Source organism: Homo sapiens, chromosome 1 (genome assembly GCF_000001405.40).
Source record: "Homo sapiens chromosome 1, GRCh38.p14 Primary Assembly".
Lineage (NCBI taxonomy): Eukaryota > Metazoa > Chordata > Mammalia > Primates > Hominidae > Homo > Homo sapiens.
Window position 1 is genome coordinate 2,785,364 of NC_000001.11, and position 16,617 is coordinate 2,801,980.

Sequence of the window (16,617 nt, forward strand, 5' to 3'; positions counted from 1 at the left end):
CCCAGAAACAGCACTGACTCCAGGAAGCAGGCAGCACCCCCGTGCTGGGTGTCCCAGGGTGGGGAGGCCAGGCGTGCATAGGAGGAGCCTGTCACTATTTCTAGGAAGGGCTGAGGGGAGCAGGGACCTCGCCTCCTTGTCATTAGCTAGGAAAGGGGCCCTTCTCCCCTCAGGACTGGGGGTGCTGGGACGGCAGCTCAGGCACCAGGCAGGGCACAGCTCAGGTCCCAGCTCAGGCCCCAGGTCTCAGAGCCTGGTCTCAGGCCTTGGTGCACCCACCTTGAAGGTGAAATGCCCTCAGCGAGTGGCCCTTGCCCTGTCCAACCCGTGGGTGTTCCTGAGGCCCCTGCACCTGGGGAGCATGCGTGTCCCCACCAACCAGCATGGCAGAGACTCCCCATGTCCCCTGTGCCTGGCACAAGACTGGGCCCTGGGGGCAGGTGGGCAGCTCCTACCTGCGGCAAAGATGGCCAGAGACAGGTAGGCGATGGCCTCCTTGGTGTGAACCCTGCCGTCGGCCCCGCCTGGCCGTGCCCGCAGGATGGCCAGGGCCCTGGCGTGGCAGTGGCCTTGAAGCAGCTGCCGGTCCTCGTGGCAGAAGACGTCCAGGGTGGGCTGGAGGCAGGCGGTGTCACCAGACTGGACCAGCTTCTTCACCAACTGCAAGGGTGCCACAGTCACTGCCCATGCCCTTGGGACCGATGCCCTGGAGCCCACCCTGTACTGACGCCCCTGGCCATCCCCCACCCCACCCTCACTGCCCCAGGGTCCACCTGGTGCCAACGCTCCCAGTCCCACCCTTGCTGCCCCACGGCTCACCCAGTTCCAACGCCCCTGGCAATTCCTCACCCCACCCTCTCTGTGCCAGGGTCCGCCCTGTGCCATCACCCCGATCCTCCCCTACTGCCTCGCTGCCTCCACCAGCCCCTGGCTGTGTGTCCATGAGCCTGGGAGCTTCTGCCTGTCTGAGCACTAGGAGGTTGGCCGTGTGTTGCGATGTGGCCATTTGAGCCTTTGGGGGCGTTTTGTCTCCCCATAGGTGGGGGTCCCACAGCGGCCAGGGACTGTGTGTCCCCACCTTGGTGCAGAGGAGTAGGTAGGGAGGGGAGTCGTGAGCCCGCTCTGGGCTGCAGTCTGAGCCGCATCTGTCTGCTGATGGCATTGGTGGGCTGGGACTCTCAGGGTTCCCGAGCCTAGGACTTCTCCATCCCATGGAGGTGGAGACTCCGCCCCAGTGGGCCCACTGGAGCAAGGTCCAAATGAGAAGCAGAGGAAGGGGCTTTTAGGTCATGAAGGGTCAACAGGCGCCAGGGAGTCCTTCAGACGACGCGGAGCAAAAGCCCAGCACGGCCAAGTAGGACCAGGTCGCTGGGCGAGGGGAGACCTCCACCCCACAACGTCCCCTCTCCGCGACTCCATCCGAAGGAGGCCCAATGCTGCCCCCTGCTGGCTGCTGGTGGGCACACGGGTTCCCCAAGCTGAGCAAGAGGATGCAGGTTCAGGGCATCCGAACCTGGGCAGGGCAAGGAGATCAGGACCCAAACCGGGCCCCAGGGGGAGGAAGACGCGAGAAGGCCCTCACCCCAGGCCCCAAGGCCTGAATCCCACCAGAGTGTAACCTTTAGACCCCAGTTCAAACAGGAACCCGGGATAGCACCTGAGGCAGGTAAGGGTCTGCCTTTCCTGGGAGCAGGGGGTCTTGGAGGCAGGAGGGAAGGTCCCCTCTGCTACCCACCCCAAGGCAGGGTTGCATCCAAGCCTGGTTTATGTGAGAGACTTGGAGAGAAGCTCGGCCTGCAGTCGGTTCCTGGCCCTTATGCTTCGTAACCACAGTGGAAGCAAGTACGACAAAGCAGCTACGCATGCAGGGAAACTGCCGGCCCCGGGGACCTGCCCCAGCCGATTTCCATGACAACCCATGGGACCAGGACCCAGATAAGGAGACTGAGGGTCAGGTAGGTGAGGGCCTGCAGCAGGTGCAGAGCTGGGGCTGAATGCAGTCGCCTGGTCCAAAGCCCAGACTGTGGGGTCCAGCGCCAGGGCCACGGGAGGCCTGTGCCCTCTTCCCAGCTGGGCCCATTTCCACCTGCCCTCTGTCACCCCCCAGGCCTCCTCACCTGGTTGGCGTCATAGAAGAAGCCCCTCCTCAGCTGCAGCAGGGCCAGTCGTGCCAGCACAGGGGCTGCCTGGGGCCTCCGGGATAGGGCCACCAGCAGGGCCTTGTGGGTCTCCTCCAGGCGGCCCAGGCGGTACAGGGCATCAGCCGCCAGGAGGCGAGAGGCCTCGTCCTCTGAATCCAGCTCCATCAGCAGTGTGGCCAGCTGGTGCACGCCGCAGGCGACCCTGTGTGGAGATCAGCTCAGGGGGGCATGCCCCTTTTGACAACCCCTCCACCTGCCCAGGTGATTGGGCAGTGGGGAAATCCCGTCTCCATGTACCTGGCCTGGGCAGCTCCCTCCGGAGGGACCCTCACGCCACACCATCCCCAGAAGCCAAAGGTGCCCTTCCTAGCATGCGGCCCTCACGCTCTCCCTTGCCCTTCTCCTACCCTGTGGGAGGTGGGATTGTGGCGGTATAGACAGGCAGAGGCAGGGCTGACCCTGTGTGGACCCTGCCTCAGTTTCCTTTTCTGCAAAAACACAGACGAACAATTTGGCCTTGCTGGGCTCAGGGGTGTGCCTATAGGCAGAACAAGAAAACACATGGCTGCACCTGGCATGTTCCTGTGCCCATGTGGGAATGTTACTGAGTGCTCACTGGGAAATGGGGCCAGATCCTCAAATTTGACAATTTCCAGAGAACAAATATAAATGCCATCACATAATGAAAGTTTCTTACCAGCAGCAAATCAAAGCCACGCAAATTAAACACCCAGAAGGCAGAGGAACTCTGTGTGTTTTGTGTGCGTTATGTACATGTTGTGTGTTGTGTGTGTGTTATGTACATGTTGTGTGTTGTATGTGTGTTATGTACATGTGTGTTGTGTGTGGTGTGTGTGTTGTATGTGTGGTGTGTATGGTGTGTGTCTGGTGTGTTGTGTGTGTGTTATGTATGTGTTGTGCGTGTGTGTGTTGTGTGTGTGCCTTGGGGTGGACGCTGACATCAATGATGCCCCTCCAAGAACCGCCCCCACCCCCCGGACTCAGTGCTTTTAACTTTGCTGAAACCCCTTCCTGCCACCTCCCAGCAATTACACGAGGGAAGTCAAAGCAGCTAGGGATTCACCCACTGGGCTTTGGGCTGGCAAATAATTTGCAAAATGAGCATCAAGGGTGAGTGGGGGATGGGCGGTGGCCAGATTGTGGTGGGAGGAGGGCAGCTCCTGAAGTCAAGGATCCTACAAGTGGCGGCGCTTCCTGACCCGGGAACTGCATGCCTGTCTCCGTCTCATGGAGAGAACATCCTGGAGACAGGACATTACCCACGAGGGATTACAGCTAAGAACAAAGGCCAGGCGCGGTGGCTCACCTGGAATCCCAGCACTTTGGGAGGCCCGGGTGGGAGGATCACTTGAGGTCAGGAGTTCGAGACCAGCCTGGCCACCATGGTGAAACCCCATGCCACTAAAAATATAAAGATTAGCTGGGCGTGGTGATCCCAGCTACTTGGGACGCTGAGGCAGAAGAATGGCCTGAACCCAGGAGGCGGAGGTTGCAGCAAGCCAAGATTGCGCCATTGCACTCCAGCCTGGGCGGCAGAGTAAGACTCCATCTCAAAGAACAAAAAACAAAACAAAACAAAACAAACCAACCCCAGGACTGCTGGAAGGAGTAGTGGCAGGGGCGCAGGTCGGGGCGGTGCTGCCGGAAACACATTTAGCCACAAAGGGAATCGTCATGACCTATTGAGTAAGAAAATTAGCATATGAACAGCATGTCCAGCACAGACTCGGTTTGGTGAGCTATTTTACATGCACCAAACGAAAGGCCTGGAAGGAAATGTGAGCCGCGGATTTCCATTTCCGGACTGCGGCCCGGTCGATGGAAGCAGCGGAGCTAGACCTGCCTCGGGTGCTTTGGGAAGTCACCAGCCACTGCCTCCGTTCATTCCTTTGTAAAATAGGAGGAAACACATCCGTCGCTACCTCGAAGGAGACCCGCAGGAAGCAGCGGCCCCAGCGTGCCCGGGCGGGTCCTCACCCCTCCTGCGTGGTGGGGCCGCCCGTCTCTGCGGCCTCCCTCCGGCCCTGCGCTCTGGACGGCCCGGCGCGTGGAGATCGCTGCAGCATCCCACGGGCCTCCTCCCGCAGCACCACCAGCAGCAGCCCCCGCTGGTTCCAGGGCACGTAGGCCTTGGCGGCCAGCAGCGCCTCCTCGGGCCGCAGCCTGCAGGCGGTGACATAGTCCAGCGTGCCCAGGAACGCGCTGCCCGCCAGCACCCGCAGCAGTCCCCGGCCGCACAGCGCGCGCACACAGCCCCCCGGGTGCGGCGCCCCCTGCTCCACTACCGTCTGGAAGTCCTCCATGGCGCGCCGCGAGTCCCCGGCGTGCAGCGCGCAGAAGCCGCGCAGAGCCAGGAGAGGTGCGCGGTCCCCTGCACGGTCCCCCGCAGGGTCCTCAGGGCGTGCGGGCCGCAGCAGGCGCTCGCACATGGCCCGGGCGCCCGCCGCGTCCCCTGCCAGCAGCAGGCACTCGGCGAGGCGGGCTCCCAGCGCGGGTCGCGCCCCGGCAGGCGCCAGGCGAAGCAGGACGCGGAGCGCGCGGGTTACCGGGGCCAGCAGCTCGCGGCCCGCATCCTCGCGGAGCTCAGGGTGGTTCCGCACGGCTTCCTGGAAGCGGGCGAAGCCCACGTCCGCGGCCTCCTGCGCCTGAGCCCGGACGCGCTCCTGGTCCTGGACAGAGAACACGGCCTGGAACTGCCTCCGCGCCCCAGAGGGGCTCTCGCGGAAGGCCTCCTGCAGGTTCCAAAACACGTCCTGGGCCCGGCCGTCCAGGAAGAAGGCCGAGGCCGCGCGGGTGACCAGCAGGGCGGCTCGGCGCTCACCTGCGGAGAGAAACAGAGGCGTGGGTTCTGCCTGGGGGGCCGACTCCCCGGGGGTGCCACCTGCAAGTCCCCACCAGGTCCAGGGCTTGGACTCAGGAGACTGTGAGTCCTCCTGCCCGAGGCATCTCCCTCCAGTCTCCAGGTGGCCCTGGGTATGGCACCGCCAGGACACCAGCTGGCAGGAGGCCCGACGCCCATGAGCGACGGGGCAGGTTGAGAACCGTGCTGGGCAAGCGGCGAGGGGGCAGCCGCCCGGCCTGCCAGCGACACTGTGCTCTCAGGGTGGGTTCAGAGTCACTCCCACCGCTCAGTGCAAACCAAATTCAGTTACAACGCCTTTCCCTTGCCTGACATTTAAATAATGGGTTTTAGGATTGAGTTTCCTCCTCTGGGAATCAGTGCCCCTCCACTCCCAGGGCAGAGCTGAAGCTCCAACTCTATGACCTTTGCAGTGGCCATTTATTCCTGGGCGCCTTTGTTTCTTGCCTTCTTTGGGCCAAGTGGGGACCCAGCCCTTCCCTCTCTGTAGCAGAGCTCTTCTCTCAGGTCTAGGACTGGAGGGGCATGCCCTGCTGCTTACTGAGGGTGGACCTGGGCATTTACGGAGTCTCCTGCGTCTGTTCCCTGGTCTGCACTATAATGGGTTATAATGATCCACGCTCGCAGGGGGTGAGGATTAAACGGATCTACCTACATCCAGTGCCTGGAAGGGGCCTGGTGCATCGTGTGAGTCAGTGAGGTCAGGGGCAGCATCCCCACCCCCACTCCCCCAGCACCCTCCCCGCGCACCTGCCCCCCACCCCAGTGTGTCTGAGCAAACGTGAATGGGGCTTTCTGACTGGTAAGGGAAGTGTAGCTGCCCCATCCCAAAAAGGGCCCCAGGCAGGGTGCACAGGCCACTGGGAGAGGCGGGGATACTCCGTGCTGGGCGGGCTTCAGGTCATGGCCCTTATTTTCACAGGTTACGAAGGTGCTGCAGGGGAGGGACGTTCTGAGGGTCCATCCCAGACCTCTGAACCTCTGCTTCAGTGCTTTTTGCACTGACTCCTTCAGAATTTTCAAACAGCTTTTCCTTATAACCCCATTCAATAGCAACAACAGCAACAATCTGCTGCATTCAAACAGGATTCTGGAGAGGGCAAAATACCACGCAGGGCACAGAAGCAAAGCCGCTGCGGTCACTGCCCTGCTGCTGTTGCGGTAAGCGCCGAGTCCAGCACAGAAGGTGTCTCGTGCCCTGAGACTAGCCATGCAAGCAGCCACAAGGTCACTCTGTCTAGTTCTGGTGGCCAAAGTAAAAGACACTTTGAGCCTTTCCTGCCAGCTACTGACCCTTGAACACAACATTACCCCTGATTTTTGCAGTGGCTCATGGATCCGAGGGAGCTGCAGCCAGGGGAGAACCCTTGGGACCTGAGGGTGATGGGGCGCTGTTATTTATGTTCCCACGTGAAAGGGTGATCTCTCCTCTCTTTCCGAGATTCCAGTTACACACACGAGACTTTGATATTGTCCCCAGGTCACCCAGCCTCTGTTCATTTTTCTTCTGTTCTTCGTATCGAGTAATTTCTATTCTGTCTTCAAGTTCACCGACCCTTCTACTGTCGCTAATATTTTCATTTCAATTATTGCACTGTTCAACTCTAGACTTGCCATATGCTTTTTTTTTTTTTTTTTTTTTTTTTTTAAAGACAGGGTCTTGCTCCATCACCCAGGCTGGAGTGCAGTGGTGTAAATACGGCTCACTGTAACCTTGACCTCCTGGGCTCAGCCTCCTGTGTAGTTGGGACTACAGGCATGCACCACCATACCCAGCTCACTTTTGGATGTTTTTTGGAGTTGGAGTCTCACTTTGTCACCCAGGGTGGTCTTGAACTTCTGGGCCCAGGTGATCCTCCCGCCTCAGCCTCCCAAAGTACTGGTACTCCTTTTTATAAGGAACCATGCCTAGCCTGGTTCCTTTATATGATTTCCATTTATCTATGAAGATTCCACATCAGTTCAATCGTTAGGTCCACATTTTCCTGAAGTCAGTTTTTAGGGATTTCTTTTTCTCCTTACTGTAGCTCATATTTTATTTTCCTGTCTCTTTGCATGAATAGTAGTTTCTTCCCACACACCAGGCATGATGGACACTTTGTGGAGACTCTGGGTTCAGTTACATTCCTCTGAAGAGAGCTGAGTTTTGTTTTAGTAGCAGTGAAATTGGCTGGGTTTAAACTCCAAATTCTATTGCTTTTTGGTGGACAGAGCTGAAGTCTCCATTTAGCTTTTGCAGCTTCCAGTGCCTGTTCTTTCAGCCCAGCTAGTCTTTACCTCTGTATGTGCAGTTCTGTAGGCTGGAGATTTAAGTAGATTTAATACACAGATTTGGTGCTGCACCCCCTCTGTGGCTCCCTCCTTTTCAAGATTCTTCATCTAACTTTCCATCCATTTTTCTCAGCCCTGAACTGTCCTGTGCTACCTCAAGCCAGGAGAACGCCAGCATCTGCTGAACAATGACTCATAGATTGAGGAGCCCCCTCAGGTGAAGAGCTGCGGGGTGCACATCTCACCTCACACAACACCATTGTTCAAGGGTCAGCTACTAGTTTCTGCCTGCATGTGGTTACGAATCCATGCCTTCAAATAGTCACTTTTTATATTTTGTCCAGCTTTTATAATCGTTATCTGTGGGACATGTAGGCAAGCTATTCCACAGTGACTTGAAGCCAACTTGAAGCCAGATCTTCTATTGTTAGATAGACAATTTTTGACTGGCTGAGAGGAATGTAAATGCTATCACATTATTGTTTTAATTTCTATTTTCCTGATGACTAGTGAGGTTTACTTATTAATTTTTTTCCCCAATCTGGTGGGTGGAAAATGGTCTCTCATTGTTTTAATTTTGCATTTGTCTCATTACTATGATGCTGAATATTGTTCACATGTTTTATTAGCCATCTGTGTTTCCTCTTTTGGGGAATGCTTTTGCCAAGTCTTGTATTGAATTTTTTTTCTTATTGATATGTAGGAGTTCTTCAAATACTCTGCATACTAATTTATCTGCTCATTGTATATTTTGCAAGCATTTTTCTCCTTTTGTGGATCGTCTTTATTTTCTATAGTTATGGGCAAAATAGAAGTTTTAAATTTTAGTTTAATCAGATGTATTAAATTTTTCTTTATTGATTCCCTGTTTTGTATCTTAAGAAGCCCACCTGTACATAGAAATCTTAATGACATTCTCAGATATTTTCTTTTAGAAACTGTAAAATGCAGCAATTTCCACCTGGGATTCGCTTTTTTGCAAGGTGAGAGGTAGGAAATCAGTACCCTCCATTGAATAATGCTCCTTTTCTTTCTCTATAGATTTGCAACACTCATCTGTCACCTGTTAAGTTTTAGATCGACGTGGGTCCACTTCTGAGCTCTCTAATTCATTTTATTGGTCTTTCTATCTATTCCTGAAGTCAATAAACTTCCGTATTGATTAGTATAGCTTCATATTAACTGGTAGAGCAAATCCTTCTACTGCCACCTCTTCCTTCTCCATCTTCTGCTTCTCCTTCTCCTCTTCTCCCCCATCCCACCTCCCCACTCCCCTACCTCTCCCTTCCCCTCCTCGCCCTCCTTCTTCTTCTGTGGACAGTGAATATCTCTCCATTTATATAGATATTCTTTCTTTTCTGATACAATGTTTGCTGTTGCCCAGGCTGGCATGCAGTGGTGTGATTACAGCTCACTGCAGCCTTCATCTCCCAAGCTTAAGAGATCCTCCCATGTCAGTCTGGTAAGTAGCTGGGATCACAGGTATGCACCACGTGCCTGGATAAGTTTTTTTGTATTTTAAAAATTTTTTGTAGAGACCAGTTCCCACTATGTTGCCCAGGCTGGTGTCAGACTTCTGAGCTCAAGGGTTCCTCCTGTTTCAGCCTCCAAAAGTGCTGGGATTACAGGCATGAGCCACTGAGGCATGGCTATAGGTATTCTTTATTATCTTTCAATAAAGTTTTATACTTTTTCCATAAAGTCATGTGACTCTTAGAACTTAATCATTTTCTGTCCCTGTGGTAAATGGGACACAGGGCATCTATTTGTTGCTGGTATTTATAAATATAAATAATGTTTTGCATATTTTGTTAAATTTTGCTACAATGTCTAATACCTTTTTGTTGCTTCTTTTGGAATTTCTATATACATAGCTAATCATATTGCCTGGAATAATTATAACTTTGTGACTTCCTTTCTGGTCTTACATGTTCTGTCTTGTTTTCTTACCTTATTGCATTGGCTAGGATCTCTAGCACAATGATGAGTAACTGGGAGAGTGCACAGCCTCCTCGTAATTGATTTTAAATGGAAGGCTTCTGAATTGTCACCATTGAGTATGATATTTATGGTGGGTTTGGGATAGATATTATCTTTTTCAATTAAGTAAGTTTTCTTCTGTTTCTTGATTGTTAAAATTCTGGGAATGTGAAATATTATAAAACAGTTTTTCTGAATCTACTGCAATGATAATATGTTCTTTATTCCATTAATTATTAATGTAGTGAATTATATAATTCTGGAAACATAAAATTTTAAGTTCTATATTATAATATTTGACGAAATGTTGGCTAAAATGCATCAAAACTGATGTTTTGACCTGGTCAGCAGTTATTTCAGCTAACTATTCCTGCATAACCATCCACTGTAAAACTTAGTGGCTTAAAACAACAATCAAGCCTGGGCAACGTGGTGAGACCCCATCTCTACAAAAAAAAAAAAAAATTAGCCAGTTGTGATGGTGTGTACCTATAGTCCCAGCTACTTGGGAGGCTGAGGCAGGAGGACTGCTTGAGCCTGGGAGATTGAGTGCAGTGAGCCATGATCACACAACTGCACTCCAGCCTGGGAGACAGAGCAAGACCCTGTCTCAAAAAGGAAAATCCAACCATTTATATTTGCCCATAATTATTCCTCAGTTTGGGCTGGCCTAAGCTGGACAGTTCTTCTGTTGGTCTTACCAGGGGTCACTCAGGTGGCTGCAGCCATCCAGTGGCTTTACCGGACAAGAGACTCTAAGGTGGCCTCACTCATGTGTCCGGGGCCTTGGTGATGGCTGTCAGCTGAGCCTCTGTCTGTGTGTTCTCTCACTGGTCATGATTCCAGCTTCCTTACATGGCCCTGGGAGAATTCCAAGGTGAAGGTGGAAGCCGTGGGGCCTCTGAGGCTTGGGCTCCTGAAGCACAAGCCATCACTTCTACCATATTCTACTGGTCCCAGCAAGGCACAAGGCCATGCCAGATTCTGTACGGAGAACAGACCCTGCATCTTGCTGGGAGGAAAGCAGGAATCACAGCTATGCTTTGTCACCTTTCCTAGCGCTCTTAATGAAGAACCTTAAACAAATTGGAAGTGGTCATCCCAGTCCTTTGGTAAGACAAACACGTAGGGAGCCATGGTACCTGGATGCTTACTTAGCAGCTACCTTGAGGGAAAGTGGTATTTATTCTGTATCTTGTCCTCATACATCGTGTATCGCTGCATGTCTACTTACTAAAGAGGGCAAAGAAAGTTCCCAGATTATAGAAGGGTTTTGCTACAGTTTGAATGTTTGTTCCCTCCAAAACTCATGCTGAAACTTAACTGCCATTGTAATGGTATTGACAGGTCAGATCTTTGAAGATGATTAGGCCATGAGGGCTCTGCTCTTGTGGGTGGGATTAATGCAAGTTCAGCCCCTTTCGCCTCTTTGCTCTTCTGTCTTGTGCCAAGTGAGGATGCAGCATTCAAGGCGCCATCTTGGAATCCGAATCCCCAAGCCTGTTGGGGCCTTGGTTTTGGGCTTCCAGCGTCCAGAACTGGAGCTCATTCATTTCTACTCATTATGGATCACCCAGCCCGTGGCATTCTGTCACAGCAGCACAAATGGAGCGACTGGTTTGTGCAATGTTTCCAAGGACTTTGGAAAGTAACCTCCAGATGGAAGGTCATTTGTTGCAGGAAACTGCATCTGTAAAAAGTCTGTTATAGGAAAATTCATTTCTTCTCTTCTCATCGTAAGCCATGCTTGTGCTGGTGCTGGCGATGTGGGGAGTCCCTTGACCGAAGTGACTTGGGTCTAATGGATGCACAATTCTTAGGGCAGGTGTTCCCTGTACACACCAGAGCCACGGCAGACACAGACGAGCTTCCGGTGGCCTTCCTGGAGGAGCTGGGTCTTCCCTCACATTCCCCAAGCCTGCAACACTTGGGGGGTTCTGGATTTCTGCAGAGAGCTTTAGTGTGACCCCCACCCACACCCTTAAGTCATGCCCTGCCCCTGCGTGATCATTAAAGTGGAAGGCCCCCTCCCTCCTGGAGCCCCCTTGCTGTGGGCATGGTCCTCACCAGCCCCTGAGTGCCTGTGCTCTGGGCACCCGGGGTCCCCTCCTTCCTCAGAAGCTCACGATTCGGTGTGACTTTGTTGATCATTTTCTGGTAATGCTCAACATATTTGAGCATATTTCCAGAAACAAATTTTCCTGCTCACTTTGCAGCTCTCTCTAACTGGTTCCTGCCCCACCCTCTCGTTGGGGTCACCAAGAACCTCGGCACCACACGCCCAACGCACACTCCTTGTCCTCTCCTTACGGACATTGTGGCCACTCTCAGGGCTGCCTACCTGTCTTTATCTTGCAAACCCCCTTCTCTTCTGGCCCTGATCCGTCACCCCACGGGCTCCGAATTTTCTTCCTTCTTCCTGTCCTCCTGGGCTGCTCCTCCCCAGAAGCACAGTATGGAGGGCGGTTAGGAGCACCCCAGGGGCCAGGTCCTAGCTGCCTGCACTCCGTATGCCCTTGGCAGCCCCGTGTCTCATGGGGATGGTGGCTGCTCTGCAGATTCCATGATTATGCACATCAAACCCATCAAATGGGGCCCACCCACTAGCTGTTCAGTAAACGGCAGCTAATACTGCCATCCTCACCTCCAGATGTCTGCTGGCCTGGGATGGGGGCTGGGGCACGAGGAAAGGGCAGGGAGCCGCAGTGCCTTGCAGGACACTCACGCCAGGGAGGTCCTGTCTGCTCCAGGATGCCTCGTGGCCCCACTTCCTGCCTCTGTCGGGAGCCTTGACTTTCAACCTCTCATTTGCACTGACCCTAAACCCCCCTTTTTCAAACTGAGCTCCTCTCACCTCAGGGCTCACCTGTCTGGCTGCCTAATGACATGAGGCTTGATGGGCTCAAAGGACTGTGTGTAAAGCACTCAGTAGGTGACATTATTCTAAGGGTTTGCTGTGCATGTTTACTGAATCCACACAGCAGCCTTTGGGGTGGAGACGCAGCCTCGTCTCAGGCACTCAGGGATCCGAGGGTGGCAGAGTGCTGGCAGTAGGCTGGGCTGTGGCCCTGGGTGCTCCTCCAGAAGGAAGAGGCAGTGAAGGGACCGGGCAGGAGCAGTGTCTCAAACTGGGGGCGTCTAAACCTCTGACACCCCTTTTCCCATCCGCGCTTCCCTCCACAGTTCAGTTGCTCATCATGAACTCAGAAAACGTTCCTGACCCTCCTTCTCTGTGCCTGTCTCTCCACCATTAAATCTACCCACAATCTCGTCACTTCTAACTCTCAGACATGTGGTTTCTCTGCAACCCTTTCTCCCTGATCTGAATTCCATCAACTCTCTCCTGAACCATTGTCCCAGCCTCCCAGTCTCTCAGCTGCCCAGCATCCAAGCCTCCCAGTCTCTCAGCCTCCCAGCCTCCCAGCCTCTCAGCCTCTTAGCCCCTCAGCTCCCCAGCCTCCAAGCCTCTGAGCCCCTCAGCTCCCCAGCCCCCCAGCCTCCCAGCCTCTCAGCCTCTTAGCCCCTCAGCTCCCCAGTACCCCCAGCCTCCCAGCCTCTCAGCCCCTCAGCTCCCCAGCCCCCCAGCCTCCCAGCCTCCCAGCCTCTCAGCCCCTCAGCTCCCCGGCCCCCCAGCCTCCCAGCCTCCTAGCCTCTCAGCCCCTCAGCTCCCCAGCCCCCCAGCCTCCCAGCCTCTCAGCCTCTTAGCCCCTTAGCTCCCCAGCCCCCCAGCCTCCCAGCCTCCCAGCCTCTCAGCCCCTCAGCTCCCCAGCCTCCTAGCCTCCCAGCCTCTCAGCCTCTCATCCCCTCAGCTCCCCAGCCCCCCAGCCTCCCAGCCTCTCAGCCTCTTAGCCCCTTAGCTCCCCAGCCTCTCAGCCTCCAAACCTCCCAACCTCTCAGCCTCTTAGCCCCTCAGCTCCCCAGCCTCCCAGCCTCCCAGCCCCTCAGCTCCCCAGCCCCCCAGCCTCCCAGCCTCTCAGCCTCTTAGCCCCTCAGCTCCCCAGCCACCCAGCCTCCCAGGCTCCCAGCCTCCCAGCCTCTCAGCCCCTCAGCTCCCCAGCCCCCCAGCGTCCCAGCCTCTCAGCCTCTCAGCCCCTCAGCCCCCCAGCCTCCCAGCCTCCCAGCCTCTCAGCCTCCAAGCCTCCCAGCCCCCCAGCCTCCCAGCCTCTCAGCCTTCAAGCCTCCCAGCCCACCAGCCTCCCAGCCTCTCAGCCTCCAAGCCTCCCAGCCTCTCAGCCTCCAAGCCTCCCAGCCCCCCAGCCTCCCAGCCTCTCAGCCTCCAAGCCTCGCAGCCCCCCAGCCTCCCAGCCTCTCAGCCTCCAAGCCTGCCAGCCTCCCAGCCTCTCAGCCTCCAAGCCTCCCAGCCTCCCAGCCTCTCAGCCTCCAAGCCTCCCAGCCCCCTAGCCTCCCAGCCTCCCAGCCTCTCAGCCTCCAAGCCTCCCAGCCCCCTAGCCTCCCAGACTTCCAGCCTCTCAGCCTCCCGGCCTCCCGGCCTCCCAGCCTCCCAGCCTCCTAGCCTCCCGGCCCCCCAGCCTCCCAGCCTCCCAGCAGGTCTTGTCCTTACTCTGGTTCCTCTGGCACATTTTGCACATGGCAGCCAGAGGAAAGTTTAAAAATGCAGATCAGGCGCCGGGCGCGGTGGTTCACTCCTGTAATCCCAGCACTTTGGGAGGCTGAGGCAGGTGGATCACTTGAGGTTAGGAATTTGAGACCAGCCTGGCCAACATGATGAAACTCCATCTCTACTAAAAATACAAAAATTAGCCAGGCATGATGGTGGGTGCCTGTAATCCCAGTTACTCGGGAGGCTGAAGCAAGAGAATCTCTTGAACCCAGTGGGTGGAGGTTGCGGTGAGCCGAGATCGCCCCATTGCACTCCAGCCTGGGCAACAAGAATGAAACTCCATCTCAAAAAAAAAAATGCAGCTCAGAGTACCTCACTCCACAGCTCAGCCTCACAGACTGAGGGTAACATCCAAGGGCCTTGGGAGGCCAGGAGGATCTAGCCCCACAGCTGCCATCTTCAGTCTCCCATTCGTTTTCCCCTTCCCTCCGACAGTCGCCCTGGCCCCCTCAGTGGCAGGGGGAGCCCAAGCTCTTGCTCCCCTAAGGACTTGGCACATTTGCTTCTGCTGCCTGGAACCCTCACTCTCAGCCTAAATGATTCCTCTCCTGAGAAGCTTTCCCTGATCACCGGCTGGAGCAGTACCTTGCCCATCCCATTTCTTAAAGCATGCATTTTGTTTGTGTCTTTGGGTGCTCCAAAGGGGCAGGGCCTGACTTTCTTGTCACTGAGGCACCCCAGCCCCAGCACAGCCTCACCCCATCATGGCAGGACATAACCATGTGGGGAGGGAGTGGCGGGGGCAGCTTTCACCCTGGCTCTGCAGGGGCCATGCCGTCCTCCTACCTTGGGGTTCGCTGCCGGTGGGATGGGCCTCGAGGGCCCGGCTGCATGCTGCCAGGCAGTCCTCAAACCTGCCGCTGTGGAGCAGAGCTTCAGGTGACAGGGTGTCACTCCGGGTGCCCCTGGGGTCCAGAGCCGCCAGGAGTCGCTGGCCACCGGTCTCCTGCTGGCCGGCACTGTGCCCAGCCTCCGGGTGCCCCGAGAGGTAGTCCTGGAGGGCACTGAGCAGCGCGGGGAGGTGGGGCCGCTGGTGGGTGCGAATGAAAGCTACCGTCCGGTCGGCGCTGGAGGCGAAGGCCTGGAGATAGGCGGCCACACCATCCGCTGCCTGCACCCCGGACAGGACCCAGGCGAGGGCGCGGGTCAGCCGCAGCTCCAGGACTTGCTGTGCATGAGAGTCCAGCAGGGCGCTGCAGCGTTGCACCACTTCTTCGTGACGCCCGCGGGCCAGCAGACCTGCCAGCAGGTGCAGGATGGCGGCGGGGTGGTCCGGGCAGAGGGCGCCGAGGAAGGCAGAGGCCAGCGACCCTGTCAGGGAGACCACTGCCATGCCGTCCCAGTGGATGGCGGGGATCTGGCTGTCCCCGCGGCACCAGGACTCCAGGGTGGCCACCACCGCCGCCCCCCGAGCCTGGGCCAGGGCAGTGCGCACACTCTGCAGGGCTGAGGGGGCGTGGCAGCTGAATGCAGCCAGGTAGAAGGCGGTGGCCAGGGGCAGCTCCCCCAGCGCCAGATGCTGCTCCCCCTCCCGGCAGAGGCAGGCCACGAGCTCCTGGGCTGACATCATGTCTGGGACCCCGACGGGCCCATGTCTGGTCCTCAGAGTACCTGGGGGTGGGGGAGCATGGTGAGTCCACAGAGGGCGGCCAGTTCTCCTGCCCTGTGGCCACCCGTGCCCAGCCTCAAGCCACCTCCACCCCTTCCCATTGACCCCACGGTCAGTGCAGACCCCACTGGGTGAAAACTGGGGGGATCCTGGGCTGGTGGGGTGGGGCCTACCAGGTGTCCCAGGCCAACTTCCAGCCCACTGTTCACCTCTGGGGCCTCAGTTTCGTGCCTTGCAGAATGGGACAGTGGCCTCCCCCAGCTCAGTTCCCTCTAAGAACATCTGACCCCTGAGTGTCCATGTCGGGAGGGTTACGGTGGCCCGAGGTGTCAGGGCCCAGCAATAGGAACCCCGGACCCACCCTCTGCCCCTCCCAACCCTGAGCCCCTCAGGAAGGCACACCCCCCGTCAGTCCAGGCAGCCCTCTCAGTGGGACGCAGGACCACACCCCTGCCCACCCTCTCACACCTGGGCCATTCGAGGGGGGCGCCGAGAGCACCTGCCAGGCCCTTGGGTCGGGGGAGCCACCCCAGCCCATGGGTGGGGGGGTTCAGTTTTGAGGTTGAGGTTCCAGGGACAGCCCCTGGTACTCCCCTATTCCCTGTCCCCAAGCTACTTGACCTGACGAACTAGCTCCGCACAGCCCTTTCTTCCCTCATCAAACAGGCAGCCCCCAGCATCCGCTCTCAGACACACACAGACACACTCACACTCGTCTGCAGCTTGGAGGCTGAGCCGGCTGTGCCCTGGGGACCCAGATTCCCTCGTGGGTGGTGGGGGACAGAGGGATGTGGCTGGCTGGAGGGCCCAGGCCTGGGTGGGGCTCCTATGACCGCCCCGTGTGGGTTGGGGAAGGCACAGCCTGCGGTTTCCCGGGAGAGTGTCAACACCCTTGGGTCTCCTGGCTGTCCTGCAGCGCCCCGCTGTGGCCAGAGGCTACCAGGCCGAGGTCCCACCCACACTGCCCCAGCCAGGCTCCAATGGGCTGCCTCAGAGCAGAGAACCCTGAGTTCATGGGGGTGTTGGGGGAGAAGGGGCCTGTGGGGTACAGCCCCCCATAGCCGGGGCCAGCCTCCACCCTGCCTGCTCTGCCAGGGTGCCCCCAGCCTCCTCT

The 16,617-nt window shown here is 56.6% G+C and overlaps 1 protein-coding gene across 1 annotated transcript in view, besides 1 other annotated feature; it reads right to left on the bottom strand.

The window, feature by feature from the left end:
* The window catches only part of TTC34 (tetratricopeptide repeat domain 34), a 164,708-nt gene extending 148,378 nt beyond the window's left edge, over nt 1–16,330 (bottom strand). Inside the window, exons 1-5 of the mRNA NM_001242672.3 lie at nt 16,214–16,330; nt 14,681–15,505; nt 4,140–4,983; nt 2,118–2,343; nt 456–660 (exon numbers count right to left, since the gene is read on the bottom strand). Coding sequence (NP_001229601.2) covers nt 456–660; nt 2,118–2,343; nt 4,140–4,983; nt 14,681–15,464 — 2,059 coding nt within the window. The 5' untranslated portion in view covers nt 15,465–15,505; nt 16,214–16,330. The remainder of the gene's footprint in view (nt 1–455; nt 661–2,117; nt 2,344–4,139; nt 4,984–14,680; nt 15,506–16,213) is intronic.
* Nucleotides 4,921–5,580: an enhancer, noted in NCBI's record as "H3K27ac-H3K4me1 hESC enhancer chr1:2706849-2707508 (GRCh37/hg19 assembly coordinates)". NCBI's record gives its function as "activates a minimal SCP1, AML or CMV promoter by ChIP-STARR-seq in naive H9 embryonic stem cells {active_cell/tissue: H9 hESC(naive)}" and the evidence as "EXISTENCE:reporter gene assay evidence [ECO:0000049][PMID:30033119]".
* Nucleotides 16,331–16,617: the final 287 nt, after the last annotated feature.